The 23,702-nt window shown below is 43.4% G+C and overlaps 2 protein-coding genes across 3 annotated transcripts in view; both read left to right on the plus strand.

The window, feature by feature from the left end:
• TMED3 (transmembrane p24 trafficking protein 3) overlaps window positions 1-21,618 on the plus strand; it is a 102,775-nt gene extending 81,157 nt beyond the window's left edge. Inside the window, exon 3 of the mRNA NM_001330376.2 lies at window positions 19,132-21,618. Within this exon, the coding sequence (NP_001317305.1) occupies window positions 19,132-19,236 (105 nt within the window). The 3' untranslated portion in view covers window positions 19,237-21,618. The remainder of the gene's footprint in view (window positions 1-19,131) is intronic.
• MINAR1 (membrane integral NOTCH2 associated receptor 1) overlaps window positions 19,132-23,702 on the plus strand; it is a 60,905-nt gene continuing 56,334 nt past the window's right edge. Inside the window, exon 1 of one of the 2 annotated variants that reach the window (XM_017022027.2) lies at window positions 19,132-19,372. The gene's annotated coding sequence lies outside the window, so the exon portion shown is untranslated. Of the gene's footprint in view, window positions 19,373-19,842; window positions 21,290-23,702 lie in introns of those variants that run through there. The other variant, XM_011521392.2, reaches the window with a different exon arrangement.

The raw sequence follows: 23,702 nt of genomic DNA on the forward strand, positions 1-23,702 counted from the left end.
CCTTTTGGCAGTTCTTGTAGTGGTAGCCTGGGAGTGGCGAATTCTCTCAGCATTTGTTCATCTGAAAAAGACTGTATCTTTCCTTCATATATGATGCTTAGTTTTGTTGGATACAAAATTCTTGGCAGATAATTTTTTTGTTTCAAGAGGCTGAGGATAGGGCCCCAAATCCTTCTAGCTTGTAGGGTTTCTGCTGAGAAATCTGCTGTTATAGGTTTTCCCTTGTAGGTTACCTGGTGCTTTTGTCTCACAGCTCTTAAGATCCTTTCCTTCATCTTAATTTTAGATAACCTGATGACGATGTGCCCAGGCTTCTACTTTTTGAATACAGTAGGCTAGTGTTAATTCCAAAATTTCAAATAATTGTGCAACTCTTTCTACTGTTTATTATTTTAGCTGATTTTTTGTTCGTGTGGTCTTGTCTGATAATGTGCTTAGTTAATTTTTGTTCTGGACTTCATATTTGAAAAATTATTTGGAGAAGTAATTTGAGGCCTTCAGGTAACATTTTCTTTTCTTCTAAAAGGTACATGACACTACACATTCAGTACCACCCTTATCTGGCTGCAAAGCTTGAGCCTTCCAGTGACACAAAGCTAAAGGCTGTACAAGAGTTGGTTCACTTCTGATTCATCCTTCTCTGAGGTTGCAGACCTTTGGCATCCCAACTTAAATTGGAATCTTTATCCTTCTGGCTTCAGGGATCCCCAGAAGTGAAACTCAGTTTTGAAGCAATTTTCTCCCTTCTCTCTTATCACTAGCAAAAGAGCTAGACTTAGCTCTCTGGCTTTTCATTTTCACCCAAGGTTTTAGTTCAGTTATTTTCCATTTCTTCTTTATTCTTTGATCCTTTAAAGAGAAGCTATTTGGATTTTGAACAACTTTTTGGGAAGTTTTATCCAAAATTTTTGGAGGGTAAGGTCAAAAACATCTAGTCTGCAATTATTGGAACTGGAAGCTATTAGTATTTCTAGGCCTAGATTCCAGGAAATAAAACAGCATAACTGGTGATAGGCTTGCAGGAACTAGAGCCGAGTTTTGTTAATAAGACAATAAAAACTGAGTAGCTACTATCTGTAAGTACCTCTGCTAAATGCCAGGAGAGGATACAGAAATGAATCAACCAGAGTACCTCTCCTCAAGGCACTCGGGACTTGGTTTGAAAGACATTGTAGACACATGAGCACTATGCTGCCTATAAAAGCAAGATGTTATAAAAGATATATGTGAACAGAGTTCTGTGGAAGCTCACTTCTGCCTGGTGACACTTGGGAAAACTTCAAGTGGAAGTGTTCTTTAAACCAGATTTTTGAAGGGTAGTTATGATAGGTATATTATAGATTGGAGAAACAGAAAAGGCAATAGTCAGCAAATGATAAATGCCTAGAAGAAATACAGAGGAGTCCCATTTGGTTCATCTAAGCATTTTTAAAATTTTGTTTTTTATGACAGGGTCTTACTATGTTGCCCAGGCTGGAGTGCAGTGGTGTGATCTCAGCTCACTGCAACCTCTGCCTCCCGGGCTCAAGCCATACTCCCACCTCAGCCTCCTGAGTATCTGGGACCGCAGGTGCATGCCACCTTGCCCAACTAATTTTTTAAATTTTTTGTAGAGACAGGGTTTCACCATGTTGCCCAGGATGGTCTCAAACTCCTGAGCTCAAGCGATCCTCCCATCTCTACCTCCCCAAATGTTGGGATTACATGCATGAGACACAGTGCCCGGCCCATTTAGACATTTCATATTCTCCTTTCTACCTCTAATTTTTAAGTCATGGATGTAGGCCTCATTCTGAGGGAGAATTCACACCAAAATGTATATGACTGTGCTGTTAAAATGCTGAGAGCTGAAGAGGGTCTGCATAGTTGGGGAGTAGGGGGGTGGGTGGACTAGTGCACATTTAGGACCAAATGGCGTTTACATAATAAATTAATGAAGGTGTCCCAAGTCTCTAAAAAGCTCATTCGAAAAGGCATACTTTAAAAGGGTTTATTTTCCCCATAGACTGTCAGAAAATCAGCCTTGCCGATCTTTATAGAATGTTAACTTTGCAGAACGCCCACCATTCCCATGTGTTTACTGCGACAAGTTTCTTTTGGCTCTGGTTGTGTCTCTGGCTAGGAAGGCTGAGAGACTGACTCATCCTTCTGTTGGCAACCCAAGGTTTCCTAAAAAATACACATGGGGAGGGAAGTTTGCAAACAGATTTTGCATTTTGAAGTCTAATTGTTACTGGAGCAGCAGTTCTTAGATCCATAGGCTGGCATTCCAGTCTGAGTTTTCATTCTTGCTGTGAAATGCCCATGAAATGGGTTTTCCCCACTATTTATAGGTCCCATAGATTCAGCCTTCTCTGGGCTCAAAGAAGCAGCTACAAATGGAGAAGAGGTTCTTGCATTCTTTCTCCTGCTACGTTTATTTTTGAGAGACTATTTCAAACACACAACTAAGAATAGAGAATAATATCATACCTATGTTCTGACTACTCCAGTTTTATCCAGTTTTAACACAGTATCCTATTTTATTGAACTTTGTTTAAAGAAATTAAATATTCCAGAGAAATTGAGACCCCCTGTGTAATAGTACCTAACACTAGTACCCTCTCTTCTTCCCCAAAGGTAAGTACTGTCATGAATTAGAGCATCATTTCCATGCATGTTGTTTTATACTTTTGATACATGTTATTTATGTATCCATAAATATTATAAAGCACTGTGTTATAGGCTATCAAGCTATGTAAGTGGAAAAATGTTACTGATATAGTTGGACTTATTTCTCTCTATCTTTTCATTCTTTTCTACTCTCTTTTCTTCTTCTCTGCCTTCTGTTGGCCTGATAATATTTCCTGTTTTCGTTTTTTTACTCAACTCTCCTGATTTGGAAACTGTAGATGATGTCCCTGGTTTTTTTGTTTTGTTTGTTTGTTTGAGATGGAGTTCCACTCTTGTTGCCCAGGCTGGAGTGCAGTGGCACGATCTCGGCCCACTGAAACCTCCGCCTCCTGGATTCAAGCAATTCTAGTGCCTCAGCCTCCCGAGTAGCTGGGATTACAGGTGCTCACCACCACGCCTGGCTAATTTTTTGTATTTTTAGTAGAGACAGGGTTTCATCATATTGGCCAGGCTGGTCTCAAACTCCTGACCTCAGGTGATCCACCCGCATGGGCCTCCCAAAGTGTTGGGATTACACGCTTGAGCCACCGCGCCTGGCCAATGTTTCTGGTTTTTAAGTGGCCATACTTAATTTAAAAATATTTAACTACACTTTAAAAAAAAAGACATTTTTCTTCTTCCCCCAACCATGGATAAGGACTTTAGGCATTGAGATACTTATGCTATTTTTTGTTATTATTATTTAGAATTTTAGTTTGCCCTTTAACACGAAAATATCAGATTTTAAAGGGAGATGTTTAATTAAATTTACCAACATATTTTATGAATTCCTGTGTGTTTCATTATTGTTTCGTCTATTTCATATCTCACACTTATGTTTAAATACACCCTTTTATAGGCCTTTTAATGAAAGTCTGTGTGTAATAGACTCAGGGTTTGAACATTTTAAACGTTCTTATTTTGTTCTTTCTCCTAATTGATACTATGGCAAATAATAACATTTTGGATGGATACTTTGACTATATCACTCAGTTTTCATTTGGATCAGTTGTTGCTGATAAGTCATGGTCAGTCTAAATGACAATCTGGGAAATATTTTTTCTAGTGTTCCTTTGATAATGCTTCAATTCAGGCAACTCCTGAAGGAGACAAAAGTAAATTGTCTCTCCATCTTCTGACTTCCATGTTTAACATCTTTTTTATTGCTTCATCTCATTTTTCTTTGCCTCTGAATTCCAGAACAAATGCTAAAGTTTGCCCTCCGTAACAATTATCTTCTTTCTGGTTCCATCAGTTCTACTCTTTAACTCCTTCTAGTGAGGTGGTAACTTTTATTTTTATGTTATAACTGTCTAACAAATCGTGCCAACATTTGGTGGTATAAAGCAATGACCATTTAATTATGCTTGCAGATTCTGTGAGTCAGGAATTTATAAAGGGCACACGGAGAGTAACTTGTCATGACTCCACTATGTCTGGGGCCTCATCTTGAATGGCTAAGCCTGGTTTAAATGGCTGGGGGCTAGAATCTTCATTCACCTGTCCAGTACCTGGCAAGGATGGCTCAGTGGCCATCCTAAGTAGAAACATCAATCAGAACACCTGTTTGTAGCCTGTCCATGTGGCTTGAGTTTCCTCAACGCATGGTAATCTCAGGGTAGTTGGACTTTTTCCATCTTCCCTCTGGGCTCCAGTGTAAGTGTTCCTAATGCAAGGTGGACGCTGCACGGCGATTTATGATCTAGCTTTGGAAGTCACATAGCACCTCTTCCATCATACTCTGTTGGTCAAAACGTGCACTGCACAGAATGATTGGCACTGGTCACATGTGGCTGTGGTCACTGGAAATGTAGTTAGCCTGAAGTGAGACTTCAGGCAACTGAAGTAAATGCAAGACACATTCTGAGTTTCAAGGACTTAATATTCAAGAAAGAATGTAAAATATTTTATTCTTAACTTTTAAATTTATTACATGTTGAAATAATATTTTGGATATGTTCGGTTAAATAAAATATATTAACATTAATTTCACCTGTTTCTTTTTACTCTTTCTATGCAGCCACTAGAAAATTTAAAATGACACACGTGGCTTGCATTATGTTTGTGTTGGACAGTGCCGGCCAAAGCACCCGTTCAGATGTAAGAGGCGGGAATGCAGACTGCACTTCTTGAAAGCAGGAGTGTCAAAGAATTTGTGGTCAGGTTTTAAAACCATGACACTGTTTCTCATTTGCTGCTTAGCACCTCTCAACTCACTCATTTCTTTTTTACATTCATCTTCCTATTTCCTTTTCTTGTCTGTTTGCTTCATCCTTTTATCTTTTCATCTAAATCTGCTCTCTCCCTAGAACTTCGTTCCTGGTTCACAGAGGCTATCTCTTCAGTAATTTTTTGAGAAGGAAGAAAGAGTTTTCTTCTGAGAACCATGCCTTTCAGAAAGTATTGTGTACATAGCAGTCTGCTCACCTTTCTTTCATCTGCTTAGTTGTTTTGAGTTTTGCGCTCTCTGCCTGGACATGGAAAGACGACAAACAGATCTGAAGAGCCTCTTTCCCTCCTCATGGAGCAGCAGCACAGAATAAAGAACTGGCTACCATTTTCTGGTCAGCCCTAGGACTCAAGGCTGGAACAGATGAAAACAGACAGATTCAAAGTGCAAGCCAATCTTTGATGATTGTTGTCTGTTTCATGAAGGGTAGGTAAACAAGGTACACCAGGAGTTGACTCTGGATACATTTTTCCCTATTTAGTTAATCTGCTTTGCAATTTGCTTCAGCTTCTCTTCTCCCAGACTCTTGCATCAGATTATTACATTACTACAGTCAATATACATATGCATTTTTGCATTTGCCTGTATTTGAATAAGACGTCAGGAGAGGCAGCATTAAGAGTTCTATCCAGATGACATTTTGTACCAGAATTCAGGGTATAGTTTTTAATAGAGCCAATTTTTTAGAGCAGTTTTAGGTTCATGGCAAAATTGAATGAAAAATACAGTTTCCATATGCTCCCTCCCCACTAGCCCCATACCCAACCTCTCTGACTATCATCATCCTGCACCAGAGTGGTATATTTGTTATAACTGATGAATGTACATTAATACATCATTATCACCTAAAGTCCATAGTTTACGTTAGAGTTCACTCTTGGTGTTGTACATCCTTTGGTTTTGGACAAATGCATAATGACATGTATCCGTCATTATAGTATCATACAGAGTAGTTTCACTGCCCTAAAAACCTCTGCGCTCTACCTATTCATCCCTCCTCCTCCATCCAACCCCTGGCAACCACTGATTTCTTTACTGTCTCCATTGCTTTCTTTTTCCAGAATGCCATGTAGTTGGAATTACACAGTACGTAGCCTTTTCAGCTTGGCTTTTTCACTTAGTAATATGCATTCAAGATTCCTTCATGTCATTTATTTTATTGTATTTATTTTAGAGACAGGATCTTGCTTTGTTGCCCAGGCAGTGGCATAATCATAGCTCACTGTAGCCTTGAACTCCTGGACTCAAGTGATCTGCCTGCCCCAGCCTCCCTTGGAGAAGTCCTACAATCTGCTGCCTACAAGTTGGAGACTCAGGAAAGCCAGTGGTGTAGTTTGACGGCCTTAGAGCCAGAGAGACCGTGGTGTAGATTTCAATTCAAGGCTAAAGGCCTGAGAACGGGAAGCTGTGAGAATAGAAGAAGATCGATGTCCCAGCTTGATCAGTCATGCAGAGTTAGTCCCCTTACTCCACCCTTTTTTTCTGTTCAGGACCTCAAGGGATTGGATGAGGCCCACCCACAGTGGGGAAGGCCATCTGCTTTACTCAGTCCACCAATTCAAATGCCAGTCTCTTCCAGAAATGCCCTCACAGACACATCCAGAAATTGTGTTTATCCAGATGTCTGAGCATCCCATGGCCCAGGCAAGTTTCCACATAAAATTACCCATCACAAGCTGATGGAATTAGGCCCACCCACAATAGGGAAGGCTAGGGCCATCTGTTTTACTCAGTCTACCAATTTAAATGTTTTTTGTTTGTTTGTTTGTTTGTTTTTTGAGACAGAGTCTTGCTCTGTTGCCCAGGCCGGAGTGCAGTAGCATGATCTCAGCTCACTGCAACCTCCGCCTCCAGGGTTCAAGCGATTCTCATGCCTCAGCCTCCCGAGTAGCTGGAATTACAGGTGCATGCCACCACGCCCAACTAATTTTTGTAGTTTTAGTAGAGATGGGGTTTCACCATGTTGGCCAGGCTGGTCTCAAACTCCTGGCCTCAACTGATCCACCTGCCTCGGCCTCCCAAAGTGCTGGAATTACAGGCATGAGCCACCACACCCAGCAAAATCTTAATCTCATTCAAAAGCAGCCTCACAGAAACGCCCAAAATAACGTTTGACCAAATATCTGAGCTCCCCAAGGCCCACTCAAGTGGACATGTATAATTAACCATCACCTCAACTGTCTTGGTGTGCCCAGGACTGAAGGGTTTCCCAAACTGCAACTTCTAGTGCTAAAGCTGGGGACATCCTGGGACGAGTTGATCATTGTTTGTGTGAGTCCAAAAACGCAAAAAAGAGGAAAGAAAGGAGAAACTGAGGCATGGAGACACATAATGTGTCCAGGAGAATTGGGAGTTTTGGGTCTGGAGAAGTAGGATGGTGTGTAGCAACAGATGTGAGCTAGAATGGTGGTCAGGAGCCATGTGTGGAAGCAACTTGAATTCCATGCCAGGAAATGTGTCCTTTATCCGGCCTGTAATGAAAGGTTTTAAGCAAGGGAGAGACACAATCAGATTTGCATTTTAGAAAGGTTTCTGACCTGCCTTCCCATACTGGGCAGAACATTCCTCTGATTCATTACTCAAATGCCAACCTAAATGGGCTCTGGAAAGGCTAAATAAAAATTGCATCTGTGAGAATTGTCAAGTGTAATCCTGCTCTTATCTGCAGTGACAGCTGAAATCAGGGGGCGTGGATCTAAGCCAGCTAGACTGGTACATGCTTCAGTCTCCACGGAGGCAGGGCCTCTTCCTCTCCGTGAGGTCCACTGACAGCCAATGACCCTCTCTACTTTGCAAGTAGGGTAATTTACAAGGTATCCCAGGTCAGGAAATTGCTGTCCACAACCCCTGTCCTCAACATCAATGGCTTTCTATTGTACCGGGGATAAAGTCTAAACACTGCATAGCTTCTGCCTTTCTCTCCAGCCTTTCTCACTGAGGTCTAGCTAAAAGACCCGTCGAACTTGTCATGCTCCTCCCAACCTCAGGGCCTTTGCATCTGCTCTTTCCTTTGCCTGCACCATTCTGCTGTCACTCCTCACAGCACTGGTCCCTCCTAATGTTTTAGTTCTCAGCTTCAATGTCACTTCCACAAACAAGCCCTCCCTTATCCCTTATCCAAATCAGTCACTTCTGTTATTCTTTGTCATAGCACCTGTTTATTTTCTTCCTGGCTTCTTCGGTGATCTGTAATCACTTAATCTACTAATGTATTTAATTATCTCTTGTCCATCTCCCTTACTAAAATATAGGCACCATAGAGGCAGGGATATCAGCTGTCTTGTTCACCTTCACTTCCCCAATGCCTCGAACATTGACGGCTTAGCACACAATAGACATTTTGGTAAACATTTGCTGATTAAATGAACAATGCGAAAATGATACCTAGGGTCTAGAGTTGATTAGAGCCTTCTCGTTATCATTACTGTTAGAATGTTCACTATTACACCTACCTAAGAGACAGGAAAGTAGGAGAGTAAGTGATAATTACAATGCCATCATTTTAGTACAATTTTGTGTATATAACAATTATCTCATTTAATGAGAAATGAACAAGAGACCCATGTTATTTTCCTAACTTTGTCATCATTGTAAGTACTGGTATTTTCTTCTGAAAAATGAGGGGGTTGGATCACTTAATGTCAAGGGACCTTTCCACGTCTGATCTTCCACAACAACGTAACAAACTGTCAGAATGAATAATAATTCTCCTGTGGTGACAGCTATTATCATGAGAATGCGGCATACATTGCCTTCACTCTTTAAGCTGGCCTGCTAAGGTAGGCATTACAGCACCCTATTTTCTAGACCAGGAACTGGGTCTCAGAGAAACTAAGTACCATCCTAGGACCAAACATCCTGAAGATAACAAAAATAGGACTTAAACTCAGGTCTGTACTATTCCCAGACCCCATATATTTTACCATACCATGGGGAGTGACTACTATGCGCCTTAGGATTTTTATTTCCTTTCTTCAATAATAGATTTTCAGTGCCTAGAATATTTCCTGACACAGAATAGGCACTCAATAAATACTAGTTGAAGGACTGCATGTATGATTGAATGAATGAAATCAAAGACTTAAGTGCTAGTATTAATGTGTCATTTCTTAATGGCATAATGCCCAGGACGTACTCTGGCATGTAGCAGCTGCTTGACAAATATTTAATAATTTGTATTCTTATTTAGAAAAGAAGGAAAGATAAGTATTTTCTTTACAGGAGTGTGAGATAGATGACAGAGAGTGCATAGGAGGACGAGAAAGATTTCCTAGACCAGTGATTCTCAACCAGGAGTGGCTTTGCCCCCAGGGGACATTTGGCAATGTCTGGAGACATTCTTGGTTGCCACATTGGAGTTGCTACTAGCATCTGGTGGGTAGAGGGCAGGGATGTTGCTAAACATCCTGCAATGAACAGCACAGCTCCCCCAACTATGAATTATCTGTTCCCAAATGTCAATAGTGCCAAGATTGAGAAAACCTGTCCTCACCTGGTGAGGAAAAACGAAGAACAGTGACATGGGGTAGTGCGAAAGAGTTACTTCACCTTTCTGCCTCTGAGTGCCAGTAACTGCAAAAAGGACAAATGGAAAAGAGAAACGAGGGTGGAAGAATCAGAAAAGAAGATTTTCCTGTCAAATCACTTTTGCAATGGGGTATGTTGGGTGGGGATGTTTAATACCATTTTCAAATAGATGTGGTTAGCGATTGAAATCCCATCAATAGGTTTTTAGGCAGTTAGAAAGTCACTTTGGAGGAGGCATTCTTCATGAAGAGTATCCTCAGTGGCCTCTCTTGGTTGGCAAAGGAGCAGTGATGGAGGCGAGGGCAGGGAAAGGAGGTCATTGTCTTGGCCTGAGTCCCTCAGAAAGAAAAACCTGTGACAAAGGCTTTTGGGAAGATGGTTTATTTTGAGACCTCAGGGATCAGGAGGAAGGGAAAGGGAGCGTGCAGGGTGAAGAAGGAAAAGCTGATCAAGAATACATTCTGGAGGTGGTCGCTGCTGAGGATGGCTAAGGCTCAATTCTAATGAGACCTCAGGAGCAGAAGAGAATGTGCCCCATAGATGTCCACCCATATACCAAAGAGTGGAGCATTTATCTGCAGGCTCCTGTGCCCCATGGGTCCAGTTATCTTATGGTCATTAACTTTGTCCAGTCCCCAGGTTATACACGTGTGAGTGAATGCTGGGTGGGTTCCCACATGTGGCTCATGCTGAGGCTTTAGAGAAGCCCAGAAGCAAAAAGTGAGAGATTCATAATAGAGCCAAGGCTTGGCACTGCCAAGTTATACCTGCACAAAGCTGATTGTCCTAGCACTTGGTAGGGTAAAAGGTGGGCCAAGGAGGATGGGCACAGGGGCTCACACCTGTAACCCCAACATTTTGGGAGGCTGAGGCGGGTGGATCACGAGGTCAGGGGTTCAAGACCAAACTGGCCAAGATGGTGAAACCCCGTCTTTACTAAAACTACAAAAAAAGAAAAAATTAGCTGGGCATGGTGGCAGGTGCCCGTTATCCCAGCTACTTGGGAGGCTGAGGCAGGGAATTGCTTGAACCCAGGAGGTGGAAGTTGCAGTGAGCCGAGATCGTGCCACTGCACTCCAGCCTGGGCAACAGGGCAAGTCTCTGTCTCAAATAAAAATAAAAATAAAAAAATAAAAAGGGGGGCCAAGGAATAGGAGGTAAAGCATAAGAGATGTCTGACACTCAGATGACTGAGCCCAGTCCTCACACTGCTTGGGCCAGAGAGCCTTGTGAAGGAGTCTCATCAAGACTTGTTACAGGGCCAGGTGCAGTGGCTCATGCCTGTAATCCTAGCACTTTGGGAGGCTGAGGCGTGTGGATAACTTGAGGCTAGGAGTTGGAGACCAGCGCGGCCAACACAGAGAAACCCTGTCTCTATTCAAAAGAAAAAAAAAGTCAGCCAGGTGTGGTGGTGCATGCCTGTAATCCCAGCTACTTGGGAAGGCTGAGGCACAAGAATCATTTGAGCCCAGGAAACAGAGATTGCAGTGAGCTGAGATCACATCACTGCGCTCCAGCCTGGGTGACAGCGGGACTCTGTCTCAAAAAAAAAAAAAAAAAAAAAAAAAAAAAGACTTGATTTGATACAGGAGGGTCAGCAGAACAAGCTACAGTCCTTGCTGCTATAACTGGGCCTGAGGCAAAAATTGATGTTCTCTTTTATCTCCCCTTCCAGAATTCCCTACCAGTGATTTATCTAGTCTAGGTTGCTTGGCTGGTGGGGTAACCCAGACCTTAGGGACCCCTCCTTCCCTAAGGAACTCTAACTTTTCTTACCATTGTGTGGTGGTAGTTGCTACTTTTTCCCTTTTACCATTATCTCTTGGTGAAAAAGCACTAAGAGCCGCCCAGAGTGTCCCCTGCATTTTGTATATACTCCTTTCAGACCTCATTATATAGCAGCAATCCCAGTTTCTATGATAGGGACAATTATGTCTGCCAATCTGTTTACATTTTTCCTTGCCTACTAGTCCTGCTGGCATGAGAAACTCAAAATGACCAGGTGGTAGTCATAGCTGCAGTTCAGTGGAAACTTACTGTAATCTTGCTAGAACCTCTCCCTTGTTGGGAATCACAACCTATGATCCAACGGAATTTAGAGTAATGGAGGCAGGAAGCACATATTTTGCGAGAAAGTCATGGAGAATAATGGTGAGCGAGACCACTGCTACTTCTGTCTCTTGGTTCCTGAATATGTACATTCTAGATATTGGGGACACTATACCCGGCATGACCCTTGGTTCATTGTATATATTGCATTCTGGAGGAAAGAGCCCCAGTTCTGCAGGTGTTGTCCCCAATCTGGCACTTACTCTAAGTCTTTAAAAATGATTTCATTGTTCTGTATGTTGGTATCTTCCAGGTGATGTGGTATATGGTAGTTACATATTCACACACCTTCTTTGTCATAAAATGTATTCCTTGGTCTGAATCAATATTGTTCAAGATTCTATGCCATTAAACCTGGTATTCTTTAAGACTTTGCATGGAGAGCTGGAGGAAGCACAATGGGCAGGTTAGTCAAACCCCTATATGAATTAGGTGACAATTCCCTGTTAGGTGGAGGGGCCTATTGTAATCATCCTGCCACCACATGGCTGGTTGGTCTTCTTAAGGGCTGGTACCATATCAAAGACTCAGCATCAGCCTCTGCTGGTGACAGGACAAACATTTAGCTGCATCAGTAGTCAGATTCACACTGATGAGAGGGACCCCATGCCATGGGGCCCATTTGTAGCATCCTCCCTTGTTTCTGTAGCCTCTCCATTCATGGGTCCATTGCCCAAGCACCGAAATATCTAGAGAGAAGCTGGCTGCCTCAAACTAAAACATGGCAGGTGAATGCTTCCTTTGCCGTGCATATTCTTTGTGGGCATTCATGTGAAATACAAAGTTCTGCACACTTTTTCCTCCTCCCATCAGTCCTTCCTCAGGCCTTTCCTTTGTCCTTCTGACCTCTGATCTCCCAATCTTACTCCTTTAGGCCTCTTTACCAATCAGCCAAAACATTTGCCGCTACCCAGAAGTTTATGTGTGGTTTTACTTCATCCCACTTCTCCTTCCACTCAAACTTGACCATTTAGGGTGATGAGCTCTGCTCACTGGGAGGATTTACCTTCCCACATGTCCCTCATGACCACCCCTGAGTGGGGATGTGGGCAGCAGCATTCCTGCTTTGTTTAGCATCAACATAAGTGAGCCCATCCATCTATGAAGTAAGCCTCAGTTTTTCCTCCTCTATCTGTTAATCATAGGGACCCCTCTGTATTCTGCCATAGGCCACGGGTATAAGTTGAGGAGGTGGCACTGGTGTGTCAAAGGTAGCAGTCTTGCAGGTTTGGGCTTCCCATGGAGGCCACCTCTGAATCTTCTTGGACCCAATTCTGAATATACAATGTTCAGCATGACTTAGTGCATCTGAAAAATATCAGTTCATAATACTCAGCTCCAATCTCATAGTCACTTGCGATTCTGTGGTCAGGAACTCAGGCACACCCAGCAGCATGACAGAAGATACTCTCAAATGGCAAGCTATTCCCTGCTGCAGATGGTATAGCTTTGATCTAGAACTCTGGGGGTCTGAGCTGAAACTCCCCTGTGGTGATTGCCAGAGAATCCACAGAGCATCCTCACTCCCTTCAGATTCTTCTAGCTATATCAGATCTCCCAGTCACATGGCCTGAGTGGTGGGAGCTCAATATAAATTGGTGTGAATGCCAGCTTGGACCTATTAGAGAATCCTCTCTCACTCGTGTCCTGCTCAAAACTGGAAGCCTTCCAGCATGTCTGATAAATGAATTGGAGTAATATTCCTAAGGACTATACACGCTGCTTTCAAAATCCCAAGAACCCTACCAAACCTTAGTGGTAGAGATTGCAGGGTGCAGCAACCAATCTTACAGGGAATAACCTGGCAAGTCTCCGACCACTGAATGCCTGGAAGCATCACCAATGTGACCAGCCCCTGAATTTTCATGGCTTTTTTCTCCAATATTCTGGCAGTATGTATTTTCCTTGGGTATCTGAAATACTTTCCGCTTCTGGCTCATCAATCCAGTTAGCATGATGTCATTCATATAGTGGGCCATCATGATGCTTTGTAAATGTCAAGACAATCAGATCCCTGCATACTCTACTAAGACAGAGAGCAAAAGCATTAACATTGCCCTAGAGCAAGGCAGTCGATGTGTACTCCTGTCCTTCCCACAGAAAGGTGAGCTGCTTTTTATTCTCCTTACTGATGGGGGTTTGAAAAGAACTTATTTGCCAGCTCAATAGCCACAGTCCTAGAGCCTGAGGCTGTGTTTATTTCTTTCAGTAAAGATACTATATCTGGCATAGCGGTTGCAACTGAGGCTATCATTTGGCTTAGTTTAAGGTAGTTCACCATCATCTACTATATCTATTTCGTTTTTGCGGAAGCCATGTAGATGAATTGAATACAGAGATGTGATGAGGACCATCACACTTGCACTCTTTCCATCTTTGAGGAAGCCACTAGTATTTGCCATTTCACCCAGGAGGCAGAATGGATTCTAATTTGCTGTCTTCACCGGGGTGAGGGGCTGTTTCTTGGACTTCCACTCACCCTTTGTGCTTTAATAGCCCTTTCTCCATAGACCCGGAAATGAATGAGACGTCCTGTCAGCTGCTAGAAATAATTATATACTTGACAACTGACAGAATAACTAGAGGGTAGGTCTGTGGATACAATGGACCCACTGTGAGAGAATTTGGGCCAGGGCATCACATGACCTTCCCCATCCCCACTCTAACTGGGAGGGTGGGGGCCACAGTGGCATGCTGGGTCCCTTATCATCAGTTTTAGCCTAGAACTCATATCTAAGAGTGCACACATACAATTATTCTGGGAAGTAGCCACAGATCCCTTTGGGAAAGGACTGGAAGAATATTGATTTCTCTCAAGGAAGCAATAGGTCCTGGGTCTGTGAACTGACTTAACTCTGGAAACTGTAGGAGGAACAGTGATTTTCTGTTGCAGCAGTTAACATTGACCTTTGCTCATCAGAACTCCACTTTTTCTGTTTTGAAGTCAGATTACACCCTAGCCAGCTACCCATTTATCTTACCCCCCGCAGGAATACTATGGCCTAATGGGCATTACCGTCAATCTCTGAAGCCATGTGTGCCTGTTATGTTAACACATCTTTCTCGTCTCTGACCAAAGGGATTCTTGCTTTGTGGGAATCCTGTCACATCAATTTACTAGAGAGCCTAGTTCTATGCAGCATTTTCTAGTGTCAGTCCAGGCCAATGGAAGACAGTGGCCACTGAGCTTCTTAAAAGTGCTAATGCCTCTGTCATCAGTGGATTTTTATTGCCTTAGTAAAGAAGCCTCTTTCACGTGTTTCCAGGGATGCTGTCACACACGTGGTGGGCTCTCTGGTCTCAGTGAGTCCTTCTTACATTTCCACCTTCCTGGCTCTCCTGACTCTTCCTCTATATGCTGCCAAGGCAGACCCAGTGTCTCAACTTCATTTGCTGAAGGCTATCGTTGAGTGAAAGCTTGGAGGAGCCATTCCAGCAGTAAGTACAACTGGCTCTACCTGAGTTTAGCAGGATATTAAACCCCGAGTCAGGGGAGAGTGCCTCTACATCAATTAAACTCTCCCAACACAGCTTTATATTCTCCTTGTCACCTTTCCCTGCCCCAAACCTTTGAGATACTGGGGCATTTGCTCCCTAGTTTCTATAGGTACATATTAGCCTGTTCTTGAAATTCTTTGAGTTATGTGGACTATTTCTTCCCAAAGTAAGGACTCTATATCCCTGTTCTGTTCAAACTGAAGCCAGACCCTGGTTGTTGATCTGGAGGCAATGAGGGAAGACGGGGGCAGATCTTGGAGAGGACAAGAATCATCCTGCAAAGTTTTGTGTCAAGGGTTGGCCAACTATACAGCCCAAGGACCAAATCTGGCCCACCACCTGTTTTTCTAAATAAAGTTTTATTGGAACACTTCCATGCTCATTTGTTTATGTATTGCCTAGAGCTGCTTTCAGACTAAAACAACAAAGCTGACAAGTTGTGATAGGGGCTGTATGGTCTGCAAAGTCTAAAACATTTTTTACCTGACCCCTGACAGGAAACGTTTGCTCACGCCTGCTTTGCCCGAGAGCCAATGGGTAGTGGTCCATTGAGGATTTATGCTATCTGTCTAAGAAAACTTACAAAGAAGAGAGGAATTCGGTGGGCAAGGAAGTGGGGCATGCTCTGGTAGAGAACCAGATTGGTTTTTGTTCAGCCTTGCAGCGCAGCCATTTACTAACTGTGAGATTTTGCGCAAGTCATTCAGAGTACTAGTTCCTACCCTTCCTGCTTTACAAAGTCGTTGGAAAGATCAAATAAGACAATGGACATAAAACCACCTGGCAAACTGTAATGTGCTATAAAAATGGGAGGTATAATTGTTCAGTCCTCAATATCCTGACCTTCCAACCCACAGCAAGGAAAACATTCTTCATCTGTAAGAATGTAAGAATGTTTGTGTGTGAAATCCCTCTCTGCTCACATCACTCTACAGAGATCTTCCTTATGCAGGTTTGGTTTGCAGGCCCTGCTTAGAGGGCTGGAACACCCAGTTCCCTTTGCCAGGCTAGGTTGCACCTTCTGCTTCTGCCAGTCGCAGTTCCTCCCATCGGACGTATGAGTCACCCATAGGCTTTTCAGAGACCTATAGCATCTATGATCTGAGTGCTGAGTTGCAGTTTTGAGCTTAAGACACTGACTCCCGAGGTGGTCGGAGCCATAGGGCATCTGCAAGGAAGTGATATTTAAAGCTGTAAGAGGTATTTTAATGACATCATTTGAAGGAGAAAAGAGAAGTCAGCCCCAGAGAGAAACTTCAGGGATGCCTAAATGTGAGTGAGAGGAGGAAAGAATTGAGCCACGGAGACAGAGAAGGAGTGGGAAGAGAGGTGTGGGGAGAACTCAGAGAGAATGGCCCCTGGAAGCCAGAAACCCAGGGTCCAGATCTGGGATGGTCAATTCTGTGCTGTGTGGCTTTGCATAAATCACTTGACCTCTCTAGGGTTTCATTTTTCTCACCTTTAAAATGCAAGTGGTGAGAATTCCTGCCTCCCAGCCTTGTGCGATTCAAAAGAGGAAGGGCATAGAAGTACCACATGAAGTATTTTAAAGGTATAGCATCTTTCCCAGGGCAGAGAAGAAGGGCCCACGGCTTCTCTGTATTCACATTTTTATCTCACTGTGAATCTCTCTTTTGGTCTCTGTAATTACATTGTCCTAATACAACTTAAATTAGAAAGATACAAGAAAACTTGACTCAATATAGATTTCTTTGTTAATTTAAGTACAGAGCTTCTCTCAAAAGCTTGATTCCATGATTGCTTTTCTGAAGCCTAAAACCTGAAGCTTATATTCCTGAAGCCTATAACCTGCATTACTAAGAGGGCAACAAGAAGTCTTTAATGCCTGGCAACACATTTCCAACTGCAGGATGCATCCTATAAGGACAGGTCGAGGAGTTACAGTCTGCAAGTGCAGAGAGAGACTTTTCTTGATGAGCAAAGGTTCATTTGAGGCACTACTTTGGAACACTCCTTCTCAGTTCAATTTGGCACTTTCAGATATTCAGTGCCAATCTTCCAACCAAAGGATGTCCTCACAAATTTCTATAGATAAAACCATTATAGGAAATCAATGCGCTCCTGCATTTTCCAGTATAACACAGCCACAATGCCCCAGATATAGGCAGGGGAACCAAGAGGTAATGATTGGAGGTGGGGCAAGGGAGGACCCGTATTCCATTTGCAAAGTCACAAACACTGCTCAGAGTTCATGCAAATGGGCCCGCTAACATTAATTTGCTGGACAATTGTTTCCCAGTGTGAGCCTTAATTTCTTCATGTGTAAAATAAGGTCGTTGGAATAGATTTCTTATACATCTCTTTTAAAAAGAATATTCTGTGTTCTTTATTGACCATTCAACCAAATAAAAGCACTTTGTCTGAATGTTTTCCTCAGCCTTCTGCTCTTATTAGAAAGTTTTGGTTCGTATTGTAAGAAAAGAATGCCTTTGGTTTGCCTGGAGCCGAGTGACAGCTATGTATTATGGGTGAAATTTTGTTAATAGTGAAGAGGCCAAGGTTCTAGTTTGGCTGCAGCAAACAACTTGCCATGTGACTGTAGATTAATCATTTTGCTGTTCTGAGCCCAATTTTCCTGAACTGTAAAATAAGCTAGAGGATACAGAAGAAATTGGTAACCTTAGTTGCCCCTGTAGAGGGGTAAACTAATACCCGAAGATCCATTTTAGGAAATTTTGTGCTGAGTTTAGATAAGAGGTATACTAGATTGGATTGGTACTTTTCACTACACCCTATGCTCCTTTCATACCCGATGAATTTTACGCCGCACACATATGCCACCTATTCATTAAGTAAATAATTGTTTAAAATGAAAAATAAGTTCATAGGCCTGGGAGGTTTATATATTTCCTTCCAGAAACATAGCCCATAATTCTATATGCTTAGAATGGTTTATAGTGTTCCCTTTCTTTATCAGCCTCATGGTTAAATAAACAAGACATTAAATATTATAGATTCATAGAAAACTAGGTAAAATGACAAAGCAACCCATTCTAATTCAGGATATTAATAATTGTGAAAAGACCCAATTTTTCCCATCGGAATGAAGCATCTGTTCCTTATTACTGACAGTATAGGAGAGGGTGACGCTGTCATCTAATTGCATCTTCCTAATTGGGGAGAGCACTTGGAGGGGCAGCTGTGATGTGGCCAGCAAAAGAGCACAACTATCACAAAGGCAGCCAGCATGCCAGACAGGATGTTCACTGCAACTGGATGAAAATTGGTTTAGGTAATACAGTAAATTCCATCACCAGCTTAATTTAACAGGAAATGACTGCTATTGGGGACCTACAAAATATTCCTTGAAGATTTCCCATAGGTGTTTAAGCTTTAAATTGTGGAAAAAAATAAGATACATGTGAAATATATATATGTGTATATGTGTGTGTGTATATATATATATATATACATTCTCGTAGATGCATGTATATGAATAACAGCCCAGGATAAAGGAAAAATAAAATTATGAAAGTTGGCAGCAACCTCTCAGAAGCAATGATTTGCAAGTGCTTCAATCTAAATTATAATTTCCCAAGTCTATCACAATACATTTCCAGAAACATGTCCTGCCTTTTTAATGAAAATATATTGACAGGAATGTCACATCTATACGATAGTGTTTTATGTGTCTTTTGACCCCTGATGTCAAAGCATTCTCTTTATATTTGTCTTACTGATTTGTAACCCGAGAACAAGAAACATGCTGGTTGCTCATAATTAGCAATAGCAAAGAAATTTTCAGAATTCCAGAACTGATCATTTTATTTAATCACTTAAGGTATGCGGGAAGAAATAGTTGCAGAGATATTAGGTAACTCACCCGGGGTCACACAGGCATCCAGGGGAAAAACAGGAACTAGAGCCTGTTCAATTTATCTTGTGGTTCCCAAGAGCTCCCCATTTCTGGCAGGTGAATGTGTAAACTTTCTGGCTAGGGGAGGATAATTAGAGCCAGCAATAAAGGTAAATTCTTCCACAAAGGGGCTAGGCAATCAACAGAACTAGAGAATGCAAATGGAGGGCTTTATCCTGGGCAGTTCATGGTTCCACATTTCATCCTTTAAATCTTTTTATCTTTTTGAACAATGAAGAGATTCAGAGGAGCTTATTGGAAGGAGGTGGACAAGATGGTCGACTATATGCAGCCAGGCGGAACACCTGCCACCGAGGGACTGGGACGACTGGCACCCTCCTAACAGATTTTCAGCGGGGAGGCACTGAGAGTGGATGGAGGGAAGACACAGAAGCTACGCTGAAGTGGGAGGAAGCTGCTGCACAGAGCTACCATGCACTGGGACTAGCTCCTGGTCCCCAGTGACTCCAGGGGAACAGGTGAGTTAAACTGGCAAGGAACAACCTGCTCTCACCACAGGCCTCTGGAATCCCGGCAGGAGGAGACTCCTTGACCACCACAGACACTTGAGCTGGCAGGGAGAGTTGCTTGGAGAAGTGGTAGGGGCAGCACTTCAGCCTGGGTGGAGCCCAGAGGGTTTGGTGTGGGAGCATTTGCAATAAAGCATAGCCAGGGACAGCCATCCCTCTAGGCTCGACTTGCTCCCATGGCAGACTTTAACCCTAGGGGGACTGTTGAAACTAAATTCTTCAGGGTGGTCTTGCCTGTCAGATGAGGCCAGTTCAATAACCTGAGCACCCCTTGGTTTTCTGGTCTCTCCTGGAGCCCCAGACTGGCCGTGCCTGCTTGCAGTGCAGCCTTGGGTAGCCCTGGGGGCCCGCATCACAGCTCCTGTGCTGGCAAACCACACCATGTTTGCCAGTGCAGTAGCTGTGATGCGGGCCCCCAGGGCTACCCAAAGCAGAAAGCTCCAGCACAGCAGCCCCTATGGACATGCACCAGCCCAGCCACTTCCTTCCTCTACTGCAGTTTCCGCTGGGCCCATGGCCATCCCCCCCAATCACTGCTGGTGCACATGTGAGCAGGCAGATCTTGCCTTCTCTGCCCTGCCAGTGTGCATGTGTGCATGTGCCCTGCCCTGCCACTGCTGCTGGCATGAGTGAACTCAGCCTCCTCCTCCCCACACCATGCCATCATTGCAGTCAAAGCCTTGGCAGGCACAGAGTCCACCAGCCTCACCTTCACCAGTGCCTTGCCCCTGCACTAACACTGCTGCTGGAGTGAAACTAGGCAGGGAGAACAGTGGACTTACCACACCCTGAGCAGCCACCCTTGCCTGCAAAAACTCAGACAGAGGGTGCACGCAGACCAGCACCTGCCAGTCTCCCGCTCCCATGCTAACACCACTACCAGCGGGACAGCATGCGAAGTTGCCATTGGGCGTGAGGGGCCCACCTTCCCATGTCATGCTGCCTCCACTGCTGCTGCCAATGCCCACATGGAGGCTGGCACCTGGGCACCCCCTAGCACCCTGCCATAGCCAATGAGCATGCACCCTGCTGCGCTGCCACTGCCACTACCACTGGCACATGTGAATGAGGACAGATTCCACTGCCACTGCCCTACAAAATGCTTTGGCTGGCACCACCCATTGGAGTGTTGTGACCAGCAGTCAGGGAGCACCTTGGCTGCACCCAGCACAGTGGGTTCCTAACCTTGAGGAGCCAGAGAACGAAGTTGGGCCTGATACCAATCCCCTAGGGTTAGGGTATGCAGTCTAGGAGTTGGAAGCCTAGCTTTGGCTCCCTGAAATTTTCCAGAAATGAAGCCAGTCATTTGAACTCATCTTATAACACAAGCAAACCCTCAAGGTCATCAAATAGGATACAAGAGAAAAAAAAACCATCCCAAGGACAGCAACTTCAAAGACTGAAGGAACATCAGTCTGCAAACATGAGAAAGACCCAGAGCAAGAACTCTGAAAACACAAAAAACTAGAGTACCTTCTTTCTCCAAATGACCACACTAGCTCTCCAGCCAGGGTTCTGAACCCGCACATGTACCCCTAAACTTAAAAGATTTTTAAAAAAGAGATTCAGAGAAGGACTGTAGCTGTGGACCCAAGCTCCCTTCAAAGCACTGGCAGGTCAATCGTTTGCAACGCAGACAGCTGTATGTAGAGCTCTGTGATCCACCCAATTATTGGCTCATCAAGGAGTGTGCCACATGCCAGATGCTCTGCAGAACCCAACAGAGGGGTTGCTCCTCCATGGAAACAACAAGAAGCTTTGATCAAAGAGCCTGTATTGACTCCTTCAGTGAAATTCTTGACTGAAATAATCACCTTCTTAAAATACACACATGGTGAGGTTTGAAGAGGGGAAATTGCCATCCAGGTAAGAAACCTTGGCCTTGTCCCAATTTAGTAGTGCTGAAGGTGTGTTCATTTGAACATAGATCATGTGCTAGGTACTGGGAGGATACAGGAATGAGCATGGGAATAAACTTTACATAGCTCTTGTTCAAGCAGGAACTTTACAATCTAGTTAGAATAAAGAATTATCTGTGAGTCCTGGTTGGACAGTGTGTATCCCAGCACTATCTAGGGGTAAGGATGCCTTCATACCAACCTCGTCATGACTGTGCTAAGTGGCAGGTCTGATTTGGTTATAGAACTGGATACATCAGACAGTTTTAACTTTATGCTATTAAATATTTGAACATATCACTGTGCACTATGATGGATATTAATTGTTTATGGCTGTCTAGCACCTATTCCACCTTCTACTGAAAATGGCAGCCAGCTTTTACTTCTCTTCTATGGGATACTGTCTAGGGGGAGGTGGGGTATGTATTTAATTAGATCTTGCCTTTGTCTAGTTGTGAAATAGGACACACTAGGCTACTGATACACCCATTCCCTGAATGTTAATGATATGGAAAGAAGCAAAGGGACTGAAAATGTGGGATGCCTGCATTTGTTGCTGTCAGATATTTGTTATGTGCTGTGCTGGGGTTTCCTGCCTTTCTTTCTCTCCTGGAAGCAACACTACATCCTTCCTATAACTTCTCTTTCAATTCAAGATAGCCAGTTTCAGATTCTGTGAGTGCACACAAAGAGCCCTAATATATAGGTTAAGATCCCTGTGCACTGAATTCCTCCTACCAAGCAACCTTCTACTTACATGCATGTTTTCAATCTTTCTATTCCCATGAACATGGCACACAAAAAATTCTCAATGATTTTTGTGGAACAAATGAATGAGTAAACCACAAGTACAGAAAAGTAGTGATGTGTCAGGATATGTGATGTAGTCATGGTTGAAACTATGAAGAGGACAGAAAGCTGTAGGTAAGAGGCAAACCGGGGGAGAAGCTAAGGTGGAAGTGTAGCTGGAGCTGAGTTTTGATGGCTAAATATGGTTTGAATGGATGGACAGGGAGGTTGAGGTATGGAGATAAGAATGAGGATGGTATAGCTAAAAAGAAGGCAGTTTTAGCGTGGTTGGAGATGTAGGTGACCTCCTTGGAACAGTCACCTGAATTTCATAAATAATTATTGAGAAGGTATTGTGTGCTTGTAATGTGCCTAGAGGGGCACTTGGGTTCAGAGATGAGTAAGACCCGATCAAATTGGGGTGGGATGGGGGAATTAACCTGGAGCATGCAGATAATTATAGCTCAAGGCATAATGCAGTGAGCACTCCAAGACGGGTACAAACCAGCACCCTTAGGTCCTCAAGGGGTTTGGATCTTGAGCATGTCTAATCTGTGATAAAATGCAGAGCTTTCCAGCAAGGTTAAGAAAAGACAGTCACAAATTTTAACAATGGGCCTGTGTTCAGCGACCATAGGTTGAATCTTTGAGGTTGTCCATGTCAAGATAAGGAATAAACAGTGATGCTGTGTTGGGTTCCTCATGCAGATGTGGGAAACCCAGTGAGGTGTCAGGATAAGTTTCACATGGGGGAAAGCCCTACAGGCCTCCAGGGTGAGGGGCCCTGCCAAGTAGGACAGAGTGGGAAAGCACAGGGTGCTCATGGGGAACCAAGAGTTGCTGTTAGTCTGGAATAGGGACAGGCACACCCAGAGACTGATAGGCACCTACTGAAAGGTCGTGACTCCAGGGCTGAGGGGTCCTGCATTTAACAATGTCAGCCACAGGGAGCCACAGGTCAGTGGCTGGATGAGACCATATGTCATTTCTAATAAGTCAATAAATGTGCCTTCTCAATATCCTCCAAAGCACGAAGGAGCTACAGATTACCCAACTTGGGCCTTTTAATCTTATTTGCAATTTCTTGATCGTATCTGTTAATCTGATATCAGGAGGGTATTATTATTTTTCTGCCAAGGGTGGCTGAATTCTTTTGAAGTTGCAGACCAAAATCGGTAGTAGTTGCGGTAAAACCTTTGCACTGTGGACCTAGTTTTGGGAAATTACGTGATGAATTTGGATGAGGGCTCTACTTGATTGGATTGTGAACAGAGGCAACTTACAGAGGGTGCATTCAGGCCAGGTTCCTTAGGGCTGGCTGGATCTTTCCCTCTACATCACTCTAGGGGCTCACGTCTGAGTGTGTCAAAGCCATAACAAAAGCAGCACTCCCAGAAAAGGTCAAGAAGCATGAAACAGAAATTTTAATTACAGGCCTGTATGCTGAGAACATAGAGACCTGGAGATAGCTCAGGGGTTTAACAAACAAAATTCCCATGGTGTGGCAGGAAAACTTATTTGTGTGTGTTTAGTAAGGCAATACTTTTAAAAAATTATAGAAAAAATCATCAACTATTACTTTCCCTTCTGCT

This window comes from Homo sapiens, chromosome 15, assembly GCF_000001405.40.
Source record: "Homo sapiens chromosome 15, GRCh38.p14 Primary Assembly".
In the NCBI taxonomy this organism is placed as follows: domain Eukaryota; kingdom Metazoa; phylum Chordata; class Mammalia; order Primates; family Hominidae; genus Homo; species Homo sapiens.